Source organism: Homo sapiens, chromosome 5 (genome assembly GCF_000001405.40).
Source record: "Homo sapiens chromosome 5, GRCh38.p14 Primary Assembly".
NCBI lineage: Eukaryota > Metazoa > Chordata > Mammalia > Primates > Hominidae > Homo > Homo sapiens.
The window spans coordinates 33522881-33545332 of record NC_000005.10 but is presented as its reverse complement, the minus strand read 5'-3'; the positions used below and the strand labels follow the sequence as shown (position 1 = coordinate 33545332).

The window sequence follows — 22452 nt, the reverse complement described above, 5'->3', positions numbered from 1 at the left end:
TCTAACTGGCATGAGATGGTATCTCATTGTGGTTTTGATTTGCATTTCTCTGATGACCAGTGATGATGAGCATTTTTTCATGTGTCTGTTGGCTGCATAAATGTCTTCTTTTGAGAACTGTCTATTCATATCCTTTGCCCACTTTTTGATGGGGTTGCTTGTTTGTTTTCTTGTAAATTTCTTTAAGTTCTTTGCAGATTCTGGATATTAGCCCTTTGTCAGATGGGTAGATTGCAAAAATTTTCTCCCATTCTGTAGGTTGCCTGTTCACTCTGATGGTGTTTTGTTTGCCATGCAGAAGCTCCTTAGTTTAATTAGATCCCATTTGTCAATTTTGGCTTTTGTTGCCATTGCTTTTGGTGCTTTAGTCATGAAGTCTTTGCCCATGCCTATGTCCTGAATGGTATTGCCTAGGTTTTCTTCTAGGGTTTTTATGGTTTTAGGTCTAACATTTAAGTCTTTACCATCTTGAATTAATTTTTATATAAGGTGTAAGGAAGGGATCCAGTTTCAGCTTTCTACATATGGCTAGCCAGTTTTTCCAGCACCATTTATTAAATAGGGAATCCTTTCCCCATATCTTGTTTTTGTCGGGTTTGTCAAAGATCAGATGGTTGTAGATGTGTGGTGTTATTTCTGAGGCCTCTGTTCTGTTCTTTTGGTCTATATATCTGTTTTGGTACTAGTACCATGCTGTTTTGGTTACTGTAGCCTTGTAGTATAATTTGAAGTCAGGTAGTATGATGCCTCCAGCTTTGTTCTTTTTGCTTAGGATTGACTTGGCACTGCAGGCTCTTTTTTGGTTCCATATGAACTTTAAAGTAGTTTTTTCCAATTCTGTGAAGAAAGTCATTGGTAGCTTGATGGGGATGGCATTGAATCTATAAATTACCTAGGGCAATATGGCCATTTTCACAATATTGATTCTTCCTATCCATGAGTATGGAATGTTCTTCCATTTGTTTGTGTCCTCTTTTATTTCATTGAGCAGTGGTTTGTAGTTCTCCTTGAAGAGGTCCATCACATACCTTGTAAGTTGGATTCCTAGGTATTTTATTCTCTTTGTAGCGATTGTGAATGGGAGTTCACTCATGATTTGGCCTGTGTTTGTCTGTTATTGTTGTATAAGAATGCTTGTGATTTTTGCACATTGATTCTGTATCCTGAGGCTTTCCTGAAGTTGCTTATCAGCTTAAGGAGATTTGGGGCTGAGACGATGGGTTTTTCTAAATATAAAATCATGTCATCTGCAAACAGGGACAATTTGACTTACTCTTTTCCTAATTGAATACACTTTAGTTCTTTCTCTTGCCTGATTGCCCAGCCCAGAATTTACAAAACTATGTTCAATAGGAGTGGTGAGAGAGGGCATCCCTGTCTTGTGCCAGTTTTCAAAGGGAATGCTTCCAGTTTTTGCCTATTCAGTATAATATTGGCTGTGGGTTTGTCATAAATAGCTCTTATTATTTTGAGATACGTTCCATCAGTACCTAGTTTATTGAGAGCTTTTAGCATGAAGGGGTGTTGAATTTTGTTGAAGGCCTTTTCTGCATCTATTGAGACAATCATGTGGTTTTTGTTGTTGGTTCTGTTTATGTGATAGATTACATTTATTGATTTGCATAGATTGAACCAGCCTTGCATCCCAAGGATGAAGCCGACTTGATAATGGTGGATAAGCTTTTTGATGTGCTCCTTGATTCAGTTTGCCAGTATTTTATTGAGGATTTTTGCACTGATGTTCATCATGGATATTGGTCTAAAATTCTTTTTTTGTTGTGTCTCTGCCAGGCTTTGGTATCAGGATGATGCTGGCCTCATAAAATGAGTTACAGAGGATTCCCTCTTTTTCTATTGATTGGAATAGTTTCAGAATAAATGGTACTAGCTCCTCTTTGTACCTCTGGTAGAATTCGCGTGTGAATCCTTCTGGTCCTGGACTTTTTTTGGTTGTTAGGCTGTTAATTATTGCCTCAATTTCAGAGTCTGTTATTGGGCTATTCAGAGATTCATCTTCTTCCTGGTTTAGCCTTGGTAGGGTGTATGTGTCCAAGAATTTATCCATTTTATCTGGGTTTTCCAGTTTATTTTCATAGAGGTGTTTATAGTATTCTCTGATGGTAGTTTGTATTTCTGTAGGTTGGTGGCGACATCCCCTGTATCATTTTTTATTGCGTCTATTTGATTCTTCTCTCTTTTCTTCTTTTTTAGTCTTGCTAGCGGTCTATCAATTTTGTTGATCTTTTCAAAAAACCAGCTCCTGGATTCATTCAGTTTTTGAAGGGTTTGTTGTATCTCTATCTCCTTCAGTTCTGCTCTGATCTTAGTTATTTCTTGCCTTCTGCTAGCTTTTGAATTTGTTTCCTCTCGCTTCTCTAGTTCTTTTAATTGTGATGTTAGGGTGTCGATTTTAGATCTTTCCTGCTTTCTCTTGTGGGCATTTAGTGTTATAAATTTCCCTCTACATGCTGCTTTAAATGTGTCCCAGAGATTCTGGTACATTGTGTCTTTCTTCTCACTGGTTTCAAAGAACGCCTTTATTTCTGCCTTCATTTCGTTATGTACCCAGTAGTCATTCAGGAGCAAGTTGTTCAGTTTCCATATAGTTGTGTGGTTTTGAGTGAGTTTCTTAATCCTAAATTCTAATTTGATTGCACTGTGGTCTGAGAGACAGTTTGTTGTGATTTCCGTTCTTTTACATTTGCTGAGGAGTGCTTTACTTCCAATTATGTGTTCAATTTTAGAATAAGTGTGATGTGGTGCTGAGAAGAATGTATCTTCTGTTGATTTGGGGTGAAGAGTTCTGTAGATGTCTAATAGGTTTGCTTGGTGCAGAGCTGAATTCAAGTCCTGGATATCCTTGTTAACCTTCTGTCTCCTTGATCTGTCTAATATTGACAGTGGGGTGTTAAAGTCTCCCATTATTATTGTGTGGGAGTCTAAGTCTCTTTGTAGGTCTCTAAGTCTAAGTCTCTTTGTAGGTCTCTAAGGACTTGCTTTATGAATCTGGGTGCTCCTGTATTGGGTGCATGTATATTTAGGATAGTTAGCTCTTGTTGAATTGGTCCCTTTACCATTATGTAATGGCTTTCTTTGTCTCTTTTGATCTTTGTTGGTTTAAAGTCTGTTTTATCAGAGACTAGGATTGCAACCCCTGCTTTTTTTTTGCTTTCTATTTGCTTGGTAGATCTTCCTCCATCCCTTTTTTTTTGAGCCTATGTGTTTCTCTGCATGTGAGATGGGTCTCCTGAATATACACACCAATGGGTCTTGACTCTTTATCCAAAATGCTAGTCTGTGTCTTTTAATTGGGGCATTTAGCCCATTTACATTGAAGGTTAGTATTGTTATGTGTGAATTTGATCCTGTCATTATGATGCTAGCTGGTTATTTTGCCCGTTAATTGATGCAGTTTCTTCCTAGCATTGATGGTCTTTACAATTTGGCATGTTTTTGCAGTGGCTGGTACCGGTTGTTGCTTTCCATGTTTAGTGCTTCCTTCAGGAGCTCTTTTGTAAGGCAGGCCTGGTGGTGACAAAATCTCTCAGCATTTGCTTGTCTGTAAATGATTTTATTTCTCCTTCACTTATGAAGCTTAGTTTGGTTGTATATGAAATTCTGGGTTGAAAATTCTTTTCTTTAAGAATGTTGAATATTGGCCCCCACTCTCTTCTCTCTTGTAGGGTTTCTGCAGAGTGTCAGCCACTGTTAGTGTGATGGGCTTCCCTTTGTGGGTAACCCGACCTTTCTCTCTGGCTCCCCTTAACATTTTTTCCTTCATTTCAGCCTTGGTGAATCTGACAATTATGTGTCTTAGGGTTGCTCTTCTCGAGGAGTATCTTTGTGGTGTTCTCTGTATTTCCTGAGTTTGAATGTTGGCCTGCCTTGCTAGGTTGGGGAAGTTTTCCTGGATAATATCTTGAAGAGTGTTTTCCAACTTGGTTCCATTCTTCTCCTCACTTTCAGGTACATTAATCAAATGTAGATTTGGTCTTTTCACATAGTCCCATATTTCTTGGAGGCTTTGTTTGTTTCTTTTTACTCTTTATCTCTAAACTTGTCTTCTCACTTTATTTCATTAATTTAATCTTCAATCACTGACACTTTTTCTTCCACTTGATTGAATCTGCTATTGAAGCTTATGCATGCGTCACGAAGTTCTGATGCCATGGTTTTCAGCTCCATCAGGTCATTTAAGGTCTTCTCTACACTGTTTATTCGAGTTAGCCATTCATCTAACCTTTTGTCCAAGATTTTTAGCTTCCTTCTGATGGGTTAGAACATGTCCTTTAGCTCAGAGAAATTGTTATTACTGACCTTCCGAAGCCTACTTCTGTCAACTCGTCAAAGTCATTCTCCATCCAGCTTTGTTCCAGTGCTGGTGAGGAGCTACGATCCTTTGAAGGAGAAGAGGAACTCCAGTTTTTAGAATTTTCACCTTTTCTGCTCTGGTTTCTCCCCATCTTTGTGGTTTTACCTATTTTGGTCTTTGATGTTGGTGACCTACAGATGGGGTTTTTGGTGTAGATGTCCTTTTTGTTGATGTTGATGCTATTCCTTTCTGTTTGTTAGTTTTCCTTCTAACAGTCAGATCCCTCAGCTGCAGAGCTGTTGGAGTTTGCTGGAGGTCCACTCCAGACCCTGTTTGCCTGGGTATCACCAGCAGAGGCTGCAGAGCAGCAAATATTGCAGAAGAGCAAATATTGCTGCCTGATCCTTCCCCTGGAAGCTTCGTCCCAGAGGGTCAGCTGCCTATATGATGTGTCTGTTGGCCCCTGCTGGGAGGTGTGTTCCAGTTAGGCTACACAAGGGTCAGGGACCCACTTGAGGAGGCAGTCTGTCCATTCTCAGAGCTCAAACACCATGCTGGGAGAACCACTGCTCTCTTCAGAGCTGTCAGACAGGGATGTTTAAGTCTGCAGAAGTTGTCTGCTGCCTTTTGTTCAGCTATGCCCTGCCCACAGAGGTGGAGTCTACAGAGGCAGTAGGCCGTGCTGAGCTGTGGTGGGCTCCGCCCAGTTCGAGCTTCCTGGCCACTTTGTTTACCTACTCAAGCCTCAGCAATGGTGGACACCCCTCCCCCAGCTAGGTTGTCACCTCACCATTTGATCTCAGACTGCTGCGCTAGCAATGAGCAAGGCTCCGTGAGTGTGGGACCTGCCGAACCAGGCACAGGAGAGAATCTCCTTGTCTGCCAGTTGCTAAGACCTTGGGAAAAGTGCAGTATTTGAGTGGGAGTATCCCATTTTTCCAGGTACAGTCTGTCATGGCTTCCCTTGGATAGGAAAGGGCAATCCCCCAACCCCTTGCACTTCCCGGGTGAAGCGACGCCCCGCCCTGCTTCCGCTCGCCCTCCATGGTGCAGGGACAGCTGCACCCACTGTCCAACCAGTCCCAGTGAGATGAACCAGGTACCTCAGTTGGAAATGCAGAAATTACTCATCTTGTGTCGATCTCGCTGGGAGCTGCAGACCAGAGCTCTTCCTATTCAGCCATCTTGGAACCTCAATCTACTTTAGCTTTTTAAAAAAATGGTTTCTTGCCACTATACTTAAGCAAAAAAATAAAAATAAAATAGCATGCATTTTCTTTTGATTACAAAAATAATCTATACTCATTGTAAATATTCAGTGCATTCATTGATTTACAGTATGTTTCTGGATACTTCGGTTTTCGTGTTCTTCTGCCACTGAATACCTCTAAGTCTGCTAAAAGTTGACCCACGGCTGCTGTGGGTCTTGAGTTGAGAAGGGAAAATATTAAATACTTTCAAAAGAGAAAAGATCAAATATCAAAGTTATTCCAGAGGCACACAGCCTAAGAAACATCTGTTTTACAACCAGCACCTTGGATTCTCTGGCTTTTCCTAGAGCAAAGAGGAGTTGGCATCTGTCCTAAAGCTTTAGGCATAGTCAGACTTATTGAGTTTCAGGCCTCTTGTCAGCCCACAGATCAGTTTGCCAGATGGCCAGCCTGTTTGATGGAACAAAATAATTAAACTGTAAATGAAGGAAAGAGGTATTATTCTCCCTAAGCTTGCTTATTGCATAAATAACACTCTATCAGCAATACTGAAAATAAAGAAAATTGTGGCCAGGTGTGGTGGCTCACACCTGTAGTCCTAGCACTTTGGGAGGCCGAAGCAGGTGGATCACCTGAGGTCAGGAGTTCAAGACCAGCCTGGCCAACAGGGTGAAATCTCATCTCTACTAAAAATAAAAAAATTAGTCAGGCATGGTGGTACATGCCTGTAATCCCAGCTACTCCGGAGGCTGAGGCAGGAGGATCACTTGAACCCAAGAGGTGGAGGTTGCAGTGAGCCGAGATTGTACCACTGCACTCCAGCCTGGGTGACAGAGCAAGACTCCATCTCAGAAAAAGAAAATAAAGAAAATTCTCCCATGGACAGATTCTGCCATCATTCTGATTTGTCTTATCCTGGGTTTTCTATCAAATGGAATCTCGAGAAAAAATTTAACACTTTATTAGGAAATTCAGTGCCAGGGAAGCAGGGGTGATAGAAAAGAGAAAGGAGGCAGAGAAGAAGGAGAGTCAAAAATGAAGTGGTGTGTTACTAGACTGATTATCTTACCTAACTGACCATCGCTTGGTGTCAGGAGCAACTGACTGCTGGCTCTCACAGGAAGGCTTCTAAAAACTGTGTGAACTACTGCGTGTTGTGGCAGTTTATCCGGGAAGGGAGGGAAGAGTAGGAAAGAAGAAGAGTTATCCACTGGCTCCTATCTCCCTTTGGTGGAGTCTCCCCTTAGAGGGCTAATATCTCCATACTTCTGAATTGTCCAGATATGGGCACTGAGCAAGTCCCATTGTATCTCATGTCTCATTGGCAACAAGAAAACCCAATCAGAAGCAGGGAGGCATGAGACATGGTGATATGGTTTGGCTCTGTGTCCCCACCCAAATCTCATCTTGGATTGTAATTCTCACGTGTCAAGGGAGAGACCCAGTGGCAGGTGAGCGGATCATGGGGGGCAGTTTCCCCCATGCTGTTCTTGTGATAGTCAGTGATTTCTCACAAGATCTGATGGTTTTATAAGGTGCTCTTCCCATTTCACTCCCCACTCTCCCTCACCTGCTGCCATGTAAGATGTGCCTCTTCCCTTCCACCATGATTGTAAGTTTCCTGAGGCCTCCCCAGCCCTGTGGAACTCTGAGTCAATTAAACCTCTTTTCTTAATAAATTACCCAGTCTCAGGTATGTCTTTATAGCAGTGTGAAACTAGGCTAATACACATGGCATGAGGTGAAGGCCACTGGGTTGTGCTTTCAGAAAGTTGGTTGCCACCTCAGCTGGGACAGATCCTAGGGCCACGAGCTGGGAGACAGGAGAGCCAAGATGGTCTGATACACTGACACCACAACTACTAACATTTTTATAAAGTAACTTGTTCCTGTGCATGTATGTTTTGATGGTTATAATTATAACACACACGGGAATGCAGTATTTTGCCCAACATAATGCCCCCAGCTATTTGTAGGTTGCTATACTGTTTGTAATTCTCATTGTTCATAGCTGCATAGTTGCACCGGCACAGCCATTGATCCACTCTAATGCTGTGTCAAATTGGCAGTCTATTGGCAGTCAGACATGTGAGGCACAATAGGCTGGACTCAACACCGAATTCACTTAGCTGTGTAGAAGGATACAAGCAGGAATTATATTAGGCACAACAGCCTCATCTCTGCAGGAGGTTGCTACCGAAGGATACAATTTCAGCAACTATCCAAGAGTACAACTTCATTTGCTTCCTTGTCTGTCAAGTGTGGTATGTATGGGTAGCAAGAAATCAGAGCCAAGATGCACACAGGTCACCTTGACACAAGCCTCAGCCTCAGTTTCTTGCCAATATTTTAAACTATTTTGGTCTCACATGCCCAAGGCCACATGCCAACTCACAGGCCTCCAGTAGGGAGCAGTCCTACAGTCAGGAATTTCCTAGTGAACAAGACAGTCATCATCTTTTGCATTTACCTTAACTCTCTAGTTTCCAAGGAAACCATACTTCAAGGTCATTTTTTCTCTCCAAGTACTCTGAACCAGGACTAATGTTAACCTCTTCTTTACAGTAATATTCCATCAAGTTGATTGATCATATTTACTTAACAGTTGCCCCTTTGCTAGAATGTTTATCTGTTGGCACCCAATAAATAGTTACCAAACTAATACTCACTCCTCTGAGCAAGATTTGTGTGCCTAGTCTAGCCATGAGCTTCACAAAATTCATTATTAACATTATGGCAGATTGGATCAAGGCAGCAGTGGCCTTCTCCAGCCACATGGGCCTGAGCAAAGGCCATGCTTACTCCTGGCAGGCCTTGCCCCAGCTGCCTGGATATATTTCAGGACTAGGCTCTTTATAAATATCTCAGAGCTCTGTATAACAAAATAAGTACCTCTAATCAAAGCAAACATGACCTCGAAAAGAGAAAATGTGATACAATGTGAAGTCATAAAAATGCTGTAAGAATTGGGCCCATTCAGGGAAACAATCTCATAGAAGATTCAAAATTGTAAAAGAACATTTTTAAGTCTCCCCTTTAACTCCCTGAAGGAGTTCCAGGTGAGTCTATCGGGGGTGGACTTGGGTTGAAGTTCCTTAGAAGAGCTGTGTGTCAGGAATTAACCAATTGTGCATAGCAAAGAATGGAGGGATAATGAGAGAGTGGTTAACACCTACCAGGCCAGCCTTTGGAATCACTCGTAACCTCTATGATCTATTATTAAGTGAAACTACACAAGCTATGGATTGAACATATACATTTGCCCTTGTTCTCAAAACTCCACTAAATAGGCAGAAGGCATAAAACACTAAAAATGGCACAAACCCAGAAGGACAAAGATGGGGGCAGCAGACAAGAGCAGAGAGATGGGTTCATACAATTTTGGAACCTGTAAAATTACACTGATCTATCTTTAGCTCCCCCTTGCCAAAAATAAAAAATAAAATTGGAATCTGGAAACAAATGGCTAAACTTCCAGTTGACTTAGCGAGTGTGCCAGAGGAAAAAGTCACCAGGTGTGGTGGCACACGCCTGTAGTCCCAGCTACTTGGGAGTCTGAGGTAGGAGAATCACTTGAACCCAGGGAGGGAGGTTGCAGTGAGCCGAGATTGTGCCGCTGCCTTTCAGCCTGGGTGATAGAGCCAGACCTTGTCTCAGAAAAAATGGTTTAAATGGTATATTTTGTGCTTTATATATTTTACCTCAAAAAATAATTTAAGAAAAGAGCATATGTGGTAAATTCAGGCACATTTTCTTGCATCCTGAAGAATCTTATGTAAACTGCTTTCCCAGGCCAGCGAATCTCCCTCCTGCAGCCAGGTGGGCGATCATGACATTGCAGTGGAACCATATCATTAGAATGGCTTGAGAGGACCTGGTCCAGCTAGGCACAGAGCTGGGTCCGCTGTTGCTCTGCTTCTTCCCCAGCTTCCATGCTCAGCCCTGTCCCTACCCCCATTCCACATTCTCTGCATGCCACTGGGGTCTTTCCCTCCCACTTCTCTTTTTACCCAACGTTCATCTCTTCTGGTAGCTCCACCCCTCCTCACATCCAATCCCCAGCCCCAAATCAAAATTAGTTCAGGCCGAAGTACCACGACACAGATATGAAATTGTATTCTGCTTTGCTTGCAATTCAACCTCCCTCCATATGTTTCACTCCATATACTCATGATGCAAAGATGAATGTTTGGGTTGGGAGTCTTAGCTAGAACCAAGGGTGTGAACCCCATGGGCAATGCCTCCCTCATTCCCGTTCCTCTCTAAGCACATGCTTCATTCCATTCACCTTTTCTGCCATCTGGTTTTCACTCATTCTACTTGGCAGGAAATGTGGCCACCAACAACACCCAAGTTTTCAAATTTCAGCCTTAGATGGAATCTCTGGCTGGGTCTCAATTCAAATTCCCAAGGAAGTGACTGATTGGCCCAGCTTGATGCAGGGACCTTCCCTAGAGCAGTCATGTGTGGCCAGGTGGCTGGGTCCAACGGCACCAACGTAGGTTCCTGGAGCCCAGTGCTGTAGCCATGTGGCGAAAGGCATCAGGCCATTCTCAAACGTGTGAAAAAGGAGCACGTTCTGCAGAGAACCTAATAGTAATTTCAGTCAGATTCAATCCACACAACCTATAGTATAGAGTCTCTCTAAACTCACATCTCCAAATTATTAGTGCCTTTATTCTATGACTCCTCCAAAAAGGTTTCTGGTTATTGAGATGTTTCCATTCTTGACCACAGTGGGATTGGAGGTGTTCTACTGGTGTTTCCTTGGGAGTCGTGGGGAGGACTTCTGACTCTCTGTTCACCTTCTCTTTCAGTGTTCCACTTCCTGTGGAGGTGGCTTTCAGAAGAGGACTGTCCAATGTGTGCCCTCAGAGGGCAATAAAACTGAAGACCAAGACCAATGTCTATGTGATCACAAACCCAGACCTCCAGAATTCAAAAAATGCAACCAGCAGGCCTGCAAGAAAAGTGCCGGTGGGTGAATGGGTTTGCTCGGGGAGAAAGAGATCTTTGCACAAATGTCATCCTGCATGATACAACTTGTAGATAGCTTTACATTTCTTTTACTGAATAGAAAATCTTAATGTTAAAGAGGTCAACCAGTAACCCTGGGAACAAACTATCTGATCTGGTGAGGTTTGAATCCTAACTTCTTGAGAGAGTATCTCATCCATTTTTCTTTTTTTATTATTATTATTTATTGAGTATCATAAAATACCATTTTCTCTCTGTAAGCCTGTTCACACTGATGTCATCCAACATGGATGAGAATTACTTCTATGCTTTCAAAGATGTCTTGAGAGATATCCCAGCCTTTCTTAGGAACCCAGTCAAGTGTGAAATGGTCATCTCTATAAATCTGGTACCACTGCATTAGGCCAGGTCCCCCAGAAGCAGGCTCTGGGGTGAAAGTGTGTGTGCAAGGGATTCATTAAGTAAGTATTTCCATGGAAGATCATTAAGGGAGTGGAGAAAGCTGGATGGAAAACGAGGAGACACAGCCAGGGTGCCTTCTCAGGAACCTGAGTCCTAGCTTCAGCCTGGTCCTCCAGGCAGCTCCAGAGCACAAGTTATACCCCCAAGTTGTCCACTCCTGAGCCAGTAAGTGGTACATTCACACTCCCACACTCTTCAGCCATTGGCCAAGGGCTACCCCAGGAGAAGTGAATTTACAGGAGGCTCTCTGCGTGAGAGACAAAGGAGCTCCTATAGGTTGGGTAGGTTCAGCTATGACCTATAATGTCCATTCCACTGATTGTTTGGGCTTCATTGACATGTAAAATTTCTAAATAAAATTAAAAACAGAGAAGTGAGTATATTCAGGAGCTCATTAAAAGAAAAATTTGATAGCCCTTTGTGCTGGGAGAAAGGAGAGAAAGGCTAATGCCCATAATTTTGACTTGGGCAGCTGAGTAGATGAAGCTACCATGCACTGAGAGAGGAAGCCCAACAGGAGCTTTGGGAAAGAGGGAAGATAGTGAGTTCTGTCTGGGACATGTTTGTTAAGGAGTCTGTGAATTATCTAGTTAAGGGTGTCCTGTGATTGGTTTGCTCTACAGGTATGGAGGCCAGGAGAGAGATCTGGTCTGGAAATACTGATAAAAATGCACTGAGCGAGGAAATGCTTTAGGTGTGATTATCACAGGAAGCTCTTACTGACTTGCACTTAAGGGTGGCTTTCATTGGCCTTACTTGAAATTCCAGAAGAAACCACCTAGAGCTCATTTTCAGAAGTGTTATTCATGTCTTCCAGACTCTTGCTTCTCAAAACATGGTCCCTGGACAAGCTGAATTGGCATCTCCTGGGAGTTTGAGGCTCTCAGGCCTCACTCTAGACCTACCTAATTAGAATCTTCATTTAACAAGATCCCTGGTGATTCATGTGCACATCAAAGTTTGAGAAGCACCTCGTTCTAGACCAAGGGACCAATTTGAGACTCTTTTCCTTTCATTTCATTTCATTACCTTCTATGGTACCATACTTTAAATAGTTGAGGCTATAGAATCCCTTCTATGTTGTGTTATTTTTTATATAACTGAAGCAACAACTTACTCTTGGTTGATCATGCCTAGTGTTAGGGCTTGTTATTTTGAATTATATGTAGGTTGTCTTCAACTGTCCTATTGCTGGACAATAAAATCTTCAATAATCAAAACAGGGTTAAATGCATAGATGGTAGTTTTCATTTTGAAATCTCACACAGAATAAATGGCGACGAATAGTTGGCTGGCAATTGATGTGCTTAACAATGAATTCCACTCACTGACAATTATCAGGGCCACAAAAGTTAATTACTAGCTTCTTTTGAAGGCAGAGCCATGCCTACTCACATAGAAGGAAAATGAAAGAAGAGTTGTGAGAAATTCCTTGATTTAAGAAACCAGCCACCCACCCTGACCACTATAATTCTCTAAAATTCTTTGAAAATATTCATTCAATGCCCAGACTCTTGTCAATCAGCTTTCACAATAAACATAACATACTCCTAAGTATATTTTATAATATCAGGTATGAATTCATATAAGGTTTAGTTTCCTCCAGGTCATTTTACTTCTTTTAGAAACCATTTGAAGTTTTAATGACTTAAAATCTAAATTGGAACTATTATTTCCACATTAGTGCCTACAAAACCCTTTCCACATATCTACATGGAAAAAAAAATCAACAAAATTCATTTACCAAGTATCAGCTTTATTCTCAGCATTACATTCTTATTGATTAAAAAACAAAAGCAAAACCCTTAAGCCTACCATTCCTGGGGTTGTTTTGTTGTTGCTGCTGCTATTGTTTTTAATTTGAGGAAGGGTAGAAAAGGCCAAAAAAAAAAAAAAAATAGAAACAGTACTTAGATCCAATGTTGATACAGATGAACATTTAAGTCGGTAAATTTTCTAGTAAAGAATATTCTGCCAGATGAATAGGATCTCATTCATTCACTTATTCAACAAAATATTATTGATCACAAGATGTCTCAGAGAAGTGCTAAGAGCTGAGGAGAAAGACATGAGTAAAATACAGTTCTTGGCCTCAAGAAGCCCAAAGTCATGGAAGCTGTATTTGTCAACAACATTGAAATTGTTTTTCAAGCTTCTTTGGTGAAAAAAATATTATCGCCTGATAACGCAGCTGACAACAAAGATACAGGCATATAACTGTCCCTTTAAATTTCCAAATGTGATTTTTGTTGAACCAGCAGAGGCAAATTGGGATCTCCCCTCCAAGTTGCCCATAATTATAAGCATTGTATGTACTTTGGAAGTGGAATCCAATTGACTAATGAACACAACAAGCCTTCATTGTTTCACAGCAATAGGGAGAACTGATGTAATTGAGCCCTGTCATCATGTTGGGCTCACGGTCATCATCTAAATGAGTTGCTAAATATAGTTCTGGAACACAGACTGCCAATATAGGCCACTCTCATCCTCCACTCTTCCTTCCGGTCCCCCACTCTCAAAAAGTGGGGCCCCAGGACCTTGCATGTATCCAGGCTCCAAGGACTATTGAAAAGCAAGGCTCTTGATCTCATGGTTTCCAAGAACATGTGAGGATTCCAGGCTTGGTTGAGTCTCTTTCAGTCATTTAGGTGTTGACCTAACCTGACAAGTGGGCCTCCTGTGTTGAGAAAAAGAAGATGTTCTGGGCAGAGAAGACCTATTCATGTGATCTTCTCCTGCCCCATCACCAGTACAAGAGATTCATTCTCTCAGAGACAAAGCTTGGGAGCTATTGAGACAACATTCAATTTCCAGTGGCACCATCTATGTACCAGCTGTGTGATGTTGGGTCAATTGCTAAGCTTCTCTGGAACCCTCAGTTATTAAAAGAATACATGCACCCACATCTATTGATTTCTGCGACAATCAAATGGTATAGTATATATCAAACATTGCCTAGTGTGTGGTAAATGCTTAATAATTTGTATCTGTGTTTTTTCTGCTTTCATGGAGGAAGGGGTATATTAGCTTCCTGGGCTACAAGCACACATATTCATGCTGCCATAACAAATTATAATAAACTAGGTGACTAAAGACAACAGAAATCTATTCTCACAGTTCTGGAGGCTAGAAGTCCAAAATCAAGGTATTAGTAGGGCCACAGTCATTCTCCCAGCTGCTGGCGGTTGCCGGCCATCACTGGCATTCCTTGGCTTACAGAAACTGAATTCCAGTCTCTGCCTCCATTACCACATGGCTGTCTTTCCTCTCTGTGTCTGTGTCTCAGCACGGCTTTTCCTCCTCTGTATGTGTGTCTCTCTCTGTGTCTCTTCTCCTCTTTTTATAAGGACACCACTCAGGTTGGATGAAGGGCCCACCCTAGTTCAGAGTGACCTCATCTTAACTGACATCATTATTCTATCTGCCAAGATCTTATTTCCAAATCAGATCACATTCACAGATACAAAGGGTGAGGACTTCCACTCTGGGGTACATTTCAAAGGATACAGTTCAACCCACAACCTTTGGGGGGCCTCCTAGAGGTCCTTTTTATAATGGCAGATACCTTTGCCCTTAGCAGAAGAGGCTTATGCTCAATTTACAGAGCAGGTCAAGAGAGAGTATGGTGCCGTGCCCGAGTGTGTAATACAATAATGCCTGTTTGGAGATGGAGACAGAGGGGACTCATGTGGGTCAGCGCTGCCAGAAGAAGCTTTGTGGAACGGTTGCTGTCAGCTGAGCCTCCACCCTTCCTCTGTCTTTCTCCTCCTGGCCAGCAACCCTAGAGCACTCACAGACACAGCGACGAGATTGTGGGGCAAAGAGCCGCCCCACCTGTGCCCTCTCCAGCCTCCATCCACAGAGACTTCAGGAGAGGCTGGCTAAGAAACTGGGGCGGCTTTGTGATGCTTGGACTGCCCTGCCAGGGGGCTTCCCAGAGCCCGGGAAGGAAGCCTTGCCTTGTTCCGATCAGCAGTGCACACAGTGCATGGCCCAGGTCCAGTGAACAACACCCACTGCTCTGCTGGGATGAGGGAGATGAAGAGCTGGAAGGGATATTCCACAAGAGACATGCTTGGTCAAAACATGTACTCTCTGAAGTTGAATTTTGAGGAGAAAATCTGAAACAAAAAGAAAAACAAGGCCAGGCACAGTGGCTCACACCTGTAATCCTAGCACTTTGGGAGGCCGAGGCAGGCAGGTCATTCGAGGTCAGGAGTTCAAGACCAGCCTGACCAACATGGTGAAACCCCGTCTCTACTAAATATACAAAAAAAAAAATTAGCTGGGCATGGTGGCACATGCCTGTAGGCCCAACTACTCAGGAGGCTGAGGCAGGAGAATTGCTTGAACCCGGGAGGCAGAGGTTGCAGTGAGCCGAGATTGTGCCACTGCACTCCAGCCTGGGAGACAGAGGGAACCGTCTCAAAATACAAAAACGTGTACTCTCTCTCTGAAACTCCCAAGGGTGTCAGGCAATTTCCTGTGGGGTTTTAAGAGAGACAGGGTTTTTATAAGAGGCTTAAAGAAGAGGCCTGAAGAAGGAAAGCTGAAGACTCAGATTTTGGAATCTAGGAGCATTATATGTTACCAATTCCTAAGGGCACTTAAAACTTCAGCACCAAACAGGACTCTGGAAGCTAACAGAAGACATTCATTTCTTCACAAAAATAAGGCACAGTTAAGAGAATAAGGAGTTCTGAGGAGATAAAAAGAATTTTTTGCCTTTATGATCTAAAGGTGAAAAAAGCATAGAGATGCAAAGATACTGTCGCAAATTTGGGGTGGAGAGGCTATTATTTCCATTTCTACTTTTCCTGACTGTTCCCTTTACAAAGGACAGCGGCCTGTTTATGAAAGTGCTTTTCTTCAGAACTATGAAAATATTTTCTCTGTAAAGGAGAAAGAAAGATGAGAGCTCCAAGAAGTACCTAAGGCAAGCTTAAAACAACTTCACTTTCTAGAAAAAAAAAAATCTAATTGAATTCTTAACAGACCTGGAACGTGTAGGCCAGTGCCATCTGAGAACCACCCGTACAAATGTGTGGGGGTGGTCCCTGAGCAACCCACTCTCGTTCCCTGACTCATGTATGGGAAAAGCAAGGCCAAGAAAATTAAAGGACACACTTTCCCAGAGCTAGTTAGAGGAGAACAAGGGTTAGAACTCAGGTGACTAATTGTATACTTACTCTGGGAATTATTTGTACATATCTTCTGCCTTCACCTCCATGGTAAAGTTCTGCAGGGCGGGGATCACAGTTTATGTCTGTATCCCTCACTCACTCTGGAAGCATTGGTTATTATTTTTTTTCTTCTTTTTTTGAGATGAAGTTTCACTCTTGTTGCCCAGGCTGGAGTGCAATGGCACGATCTCAGCTCACTGCAACCTCCACCTTCCGGTTTCAAGCGATTCTCCTGCCTCAGCCTCCTGAGTAGCTGGGATTACAGGCGCCCACCACCACGCCCAGCTACTTTTTGTATTTTTAGTAGAGACGGGGTTTCACCATGTTGGCTAGACTAGTCTCGAATTCCTGACCTCATGATCCGCCCACGTCAGCCTCCCAAAGTGCTGGGATTACAGGCGTGAGCCACCATGCCCGGCCCGGAAGCATTGGTTATTTTGCTGACGGGTTGTTGGCTTGACACTCTGAATAGTATGATTGATTAGAGCATGAGCTCTAGAGTTAAGACTGCCTGTGTTCAGATCTGGCTATGCCATTTATCAGCTGGACAACCTTATACAAGTTCTTCACTACTTGAGGCCTTACTTTCGTCATTTGTGAAATGGAAAAAATACTTGTCTGCTAGTAGCACTGTAAAGATGAAATGTAGTGAAGCATGGAAGACACTGCATTCAACTATTTCCATAGCAATACTGCATAGCAAAGCACCCCGACACTCGGGTTTAAAACTACAGTCATGTATTTTTTTCTTTTTTACAATTTCAATAGTTTTGGGGGTACCAAAGTAGTTGTGGGGGATAACCAAAACTCACGTTCCTTAGTGGCGATTTCTGAGATTTTAGTGCACCCATCTCCCAAGCAGTGTATACTATACCCAATATGTAGTCTTTTATTCCTTACCACCCCCAAGTTTCCTCCCTGGGCCCCCTGTCTATTATATCATTCTTATGCCTCTGAGTCCTCATAGCTTAGCTCCCACTTATAAATGAGAACATATATTTGGTTTTCCATTCCTGAAGTTACTTCACTTAGAATAATGGCCTCCAGCTTCACCCAAGTTGCTGCAAAAAACATTATTTCATTCCTTTTTTTTTTTTTTCTGGTTGAGTAATATTTCCTGGGGTGTATATACCACATTTTCCTGTATCCACTCATTGGTTGACGGGCCCTTAGGTTGGTTCCATATCTTTGCAATTGTGAATTGTGCTGCTATAAACATGCATGTGTGTGTGTCTTTTTCATATAATGCACAGTCATGTATTTTTTGCTGAGCATCTATAGGTCAGCCAAGGTTCACATGATTGAGCTTGGCTTTGGTTGACCTTGGCTGCTAACTGTAGGTTGAGTCCAGGTCTGCCCCATGTGTCTCTTATCACCCTTGGTGGCTGCACCAGCCAGGTTCTTCTTATGGTGACAGCAGAAGCTCATCAGGGAAGGCTTGTCCTCCTGCACATTCCAAGTCACTGCAGAGATCGTGTCTACTAGCATCCCATTATCTAAAGCAAGTCACAGAGCTGAACCCAAAGGCAAGTAGTTGGGAAGGATTCTCCACCCACTAGGCAGCCATGGCAAGGAGGGAATGTTCTGTATAAAACAATTACATGGGAGTGAAGAATTGTGACTGATAATTCAGTTTAGCATAAACACTCTGCACAGCGTCTGATACATAATAAACATTCAGTAGATACCACCTATTATGAATTGTTATGGCTCCTTTCTTGGTAGACATATAAAGTCTTACATTAATAGAAGTTGTGCTTGTATATCCACAAAGGATAATCTTTGGACTTTTTTCTTATTCTTTTTCTCCTTCCACAGATTTACTTTGCACTAAGGACAAACTGTCAGCCAGTTTCTGCCAGACACTGAAAGCCATGAAGAAATGTTCTGTGCCCACCGTGAGGGCTGAGTGCTGCTTCTCGTGTCCCCAGACACACATCACACACACCCAAAGGCAAAGAAGGCAACGGTTGCTCCAAAAGTCAAAAGAACTCTAAGCCCAAAAGGAAGCCAGCTTCCACCAGACTGCAGCAGCCTGCTGACCATGACATGCTTTAGCCCTGGGAGCTGCTTCGTTGAGGTTTTGCTTCATATATTTCAGATTCAGCTTTGGGTCATGATGAAACAAAATCCATTGTGTTCCTCTAGCCACCGAATGTCCCTCACAGGAGGCCTAGGCTGCCGTACTTGCTGCTCCCTGATAGGAAGGTGAAATAGCTAGGAGAATCAGGCAGCACCTGGTATCGGCTCCTGGGAAAGGTGCCAGGTTAGACAGATTTGTGAAATACTGTATTTTTGTTCTCCCTTAAAGATAAAAACAAAGAGACCAGCTATTTCCCTGACTACCTCAAGAGTATCAGGCAACACTTACCCAGGGGACAAATAATCTTCTTAATTTATCTTGATGAATACCTTTCTTTTTTTTTTCTTGCCTCCCTGCCTGGGGCAGCTGCTATTTAAAATGTCACAGCGGAGCTTTAGGAACATTCCTTTAATTCATCCAGGCAGAGGACTGCTTTCTTCACCCCATGTTCAACTAGGGCAGGAAGTGCTGGTTACATCCCTCAGTCTCTTCCTCCATCCCTGTAGGGCTCCATATCTGGGCTGCTTAGAGTCTCCTGCCAACCTTGGGACACTAGACTAAGAGGAAACAGGCATAAGAAACACAGCCTAAGGGGTTTAGGTCACTTACACAGAAAACACTTCTGGTTTGAAGAGCATTTCTATGAAAACTCGTAAAATGCAAATGAGCAGAAATCAATTTCTTAATATTACAGAAAAGGAACTGTGGGCCTTTATTCTTCCCACTTTCCTGGCAAATACACACTCCTTTGCAGAAGGGAAAATGTGTCTTCCTGGCTGACTTCCTCCCATCCTCCAGTCCCCACAGGAGGCCTGAGCTCAGGTCCCACCATCGTCTTGCTGCAGGGGCTGTATATGCAAAGACCACTATGACCAGCTCTAGGGCTGCCACCTGTCCTCACCTCTTCTCAGGTTGGAAAATGGAGGTTCCATATTAAAATATTTCAAAGAACCAGGTAAATTGTACTAAGTACAAGAACATAGTGCAAACTTCTAATCTAGAGAAAAAACATTTCTAAAAAGTAAGGTAAAGGGGATCTACTCCTCAGTGTACCCAATATGTAGTTAGTCTTAAAGATCTTTTACTTTGGGGAGAACAGGTGAATCAGGGAGTCCAAAGAAACTGAAATGAAAGTTAGAATGCTTGTTCTGGATGTTCCTACCTCCCACCAGAAGTCAAAGTAGGCTTGGTCTCAAATTCAGAGCAAATTTCTAGACAAAGTGATTTCTAAGGGAAGGTACTTACATGAACTGAACCCAGAGAAAGAGGGTAAGTGGGTGGGTGGAGGGGCATAAGCTTCAAATGAAAGAAGATATCAGAACCAATTCTTGACAGGGAGAAAGGCAAGGATGTGGCCTTCATGTGATGGGCAGCATATTTTCTGACTCATGCACAGATACACTTAATACTCCTCATGGAACACAATATCCCACGTCTCCCTTTACCTATCCGTTCAGCAGAATGGTGCTATTAAAAAAATGGTGCTAATATCTAGATGGTGGCAGAATTAATGTAAACATAGATAGGCATACAAATGGGTAAGTGTATGTGAAACTCTCCATATACATCTTCTGTTAAACATGTAACGGTGTTGCTGACCAATGCCAGTTTTATTGCTTGGGTACCTTGAATTTAAGATTTAATATTATGTGCTTTTTATTTTTTTCCAAGCCATTAACGTGTATTACTCTCATGAATTCCTGTGAAAAATAAAACAGTGGGATTGGGATGAAATTCAAGATAGACCAGAAACAGGAGGAAAGTACAAATGTTTACCTAAAGCCAGAGAATTTATTTCTAGATGATAATTACATTATTGTATTCTCTGCCTTTAAACATAAACATTGCTGGCCGATAGCAATCTCTGGTGAATAATGGTTTTCGAGGAGAGGAGACACTTAAATTGTTAGTGACATGAGTGGAGGAGAATCTGATATTTACTAATGAGGCAGTTTGCAAAGACTGTCCCTGAAGTGTAGTGTAGTCTTTCAGGGGGATTCATTTAGTAAGCTAGATTGATTTAACCTGGTACTGTACTAGCATAGGGTCAAATACGTGTCATCAGAGACCTGGGTATGACCAGGCTTACAAAACTCAGGAACAAACTCAGATTCCTACTGACCTCAACCAACTAAACTAGGCCAAATTTCTCCGTGTACAAAATGGACCACGTTATTTACAATCCACGTGGTGGAGAAGATGGTAGACATGTGGAGAGAGTTTGGCCAGGTGCTCCATTCTAGGTCTTTTTCCAGTTTCTCAAAGGCAGAACATTGGCTCCTAATTATTTGCCATGGATATTTGCTTCCTGTTCTGGAGCTATGTTGTAAGACAGCTGTGTGATGTCCATCATTCTTGACTCCAGAATGAAGACAGGGCTTGCTGTTTTCTGTCCTGTTGGTATCATCTGTTGCCTTGGCGATCACTCAGTGATGAGTCGTCAGTATTTTGACATGTCCCAGTGCTTGCTGTACAAGAGGGGACTCAGATCAACAGGAAGACTCTGAAGACAGGAACCTGCATGGTATCTTACATCTTTGATACTTGGGTGCTGATATGAAGCAGAGTTGTTGATTTACTTTATCTAGGCCCTTCTTTCTTCTCACCTGGATCAAGCAACTGAGAAGTGTATCAGGAGACACTGGATACATATCTCTATGAAATAGAGAGGGCCATCGCAGGGCCTGGTACTTAACTACATTAACGTTCTAAAACCCAGTTTGGTTTACGTTGTCTTTCACAGTAGTATATTTAGCTCTTCTCTGGAAAGTTGTGGGTTAATATAATTCTTAAACATGAAAATGTAATTAAACACACCACGAGAGAACAATATTCCAGGAGACTTAATAGTGATTACTTTCTTCAATCAGGAAATCGTTTCAGTGCCTCCTTTGTAGGAATGCTTTGTTTTGTGATGGGTTTTCTTAAAGAAGAGCACACCTCCGTCCAATCTCCTGAGACAGCCACGTCTCCGCTGACATCCCACTGTGATGCTTTCAGATAGTCAGTGAATGTTTCTGATAACCTTCATCCAGTATCTGAAACACAATGTGAGAGATTATATTGTTTTAGATAATAACATCCCATTTAGTTGACTAAAATCTTCCAAACTCTGAAAGCTGCACACTGCTACTCCAGAGAGTGCAGGTCTTAGCTCTTCTCCTTTCTGACTTCAAGATGAATCTTTGGGACGATGTTTCTGGTGCTTGGTCCACAGTGATTCACTTTTGAAGGAGAGGCCACATGACATGAACTGCCTGGTGTTACAACCTAGCTAACATATTTGATGCTACTCCTGTTGTCTGTACTGCTTATTCAAGTAGTATTCTAAGTTATGTTACTAAAAAACATGGTGGGTAAAGCACAATCCTACCCATCATTGTCCTCCAAAATAATTGTATGACATACACGGCCCAGCCCATTGCCCTCCCTGCATCTCTGTGCTGCTTTGCCATTTCCCCTTCTACCCAGCCTCCTCAAGGGGTACCTTGGTGGATATTTCAGTACTTAAAACCAGACTGTAATCATAACCTCCCTCTGTGTGGCATCAATAAATAGCCAAACTCATTGATGTTTCTGTGTGATTCTTTTACCCCTGCTGTGAGACTCCCACCACCCACCAGTGTTACTATGGATTTTAGCAACCTGGGAAAGGATGCTGTCAATTTCTTCCTCCCACACTCATTCCAGATTCCCTCCTACCCTACCCCTAGACCAGTACATCATCAGATGAGTCACATCCCAGGTAAGCCGGTCTCTTCTCATGAATGTGCAACAACTGCCACACTCCACCATATGATAATCTGAAGTGATGCCTAAAATTCCCCAAAACACTGAATTCAACATATTCATGCTGCTCACAGCAGAACCTACTCCTTCATCTATCCAAAGTGTAGGCCTAATGCTTAAGAGAAAATGACCCATCTCTAGGGGAATTTGCTTTGGGAATTCAATCCTTATTCAAAGATGGGTGTACAGCTCAGTAAATGCAACTAGCAAAAGCAGAATTTGTACATATAGTGATAGAGTCTACTCACATGGAATAAACAAAACCATAGAGGTAGGGAAGAGCCAGGCCTCTCCAGGTGATCCCTAGGATGTTTGAGGGCATGAATAGGAATAGTAGGAAATGTAGTTTTGGTCAAGAAGGCATCACAGAGAGCCATGGATACCTCCCTGATTATACCTTACAAATTATTCTATCTGTGACTATGAGATCTT

The 22452-nt window shown here is 42.4% G+C and overlaps 1 protein-coding gene across 7 annotated transcripts in view; it reads left to right on the top strand.

Moving 5' to 3' along the window:
• ADAMTS12 (ADAM metallopeptidase with thrombospondin type 1 motif 12) overlaps window positions 1-21798 on the top strand; it is a 368456-nt gene extending 346658 nt beyond the window's left edge. For all 7 annotated transcript variants that reach the window (NM_001324512.2, NM_030955.4, XM_017009905.2 and 4 more), the window contains 2 exons: window positions 10341-10500; window positions 17967-21798. In NM_001324512.2, the coding sequence (NP_001311441.1) occupies window positions 10341-10500; window positions 17967-18145 (339 nt within the window). In that variant the 3' untranslated portion in view covers window positions 18146-21798. The remainder of the gene's footprint in view (window positions 1-10340; window positions 10501-17966) is intronic.
• The last annotated feature ends 654 nt before the right edge of the window (window positions 21799-22452 follow it).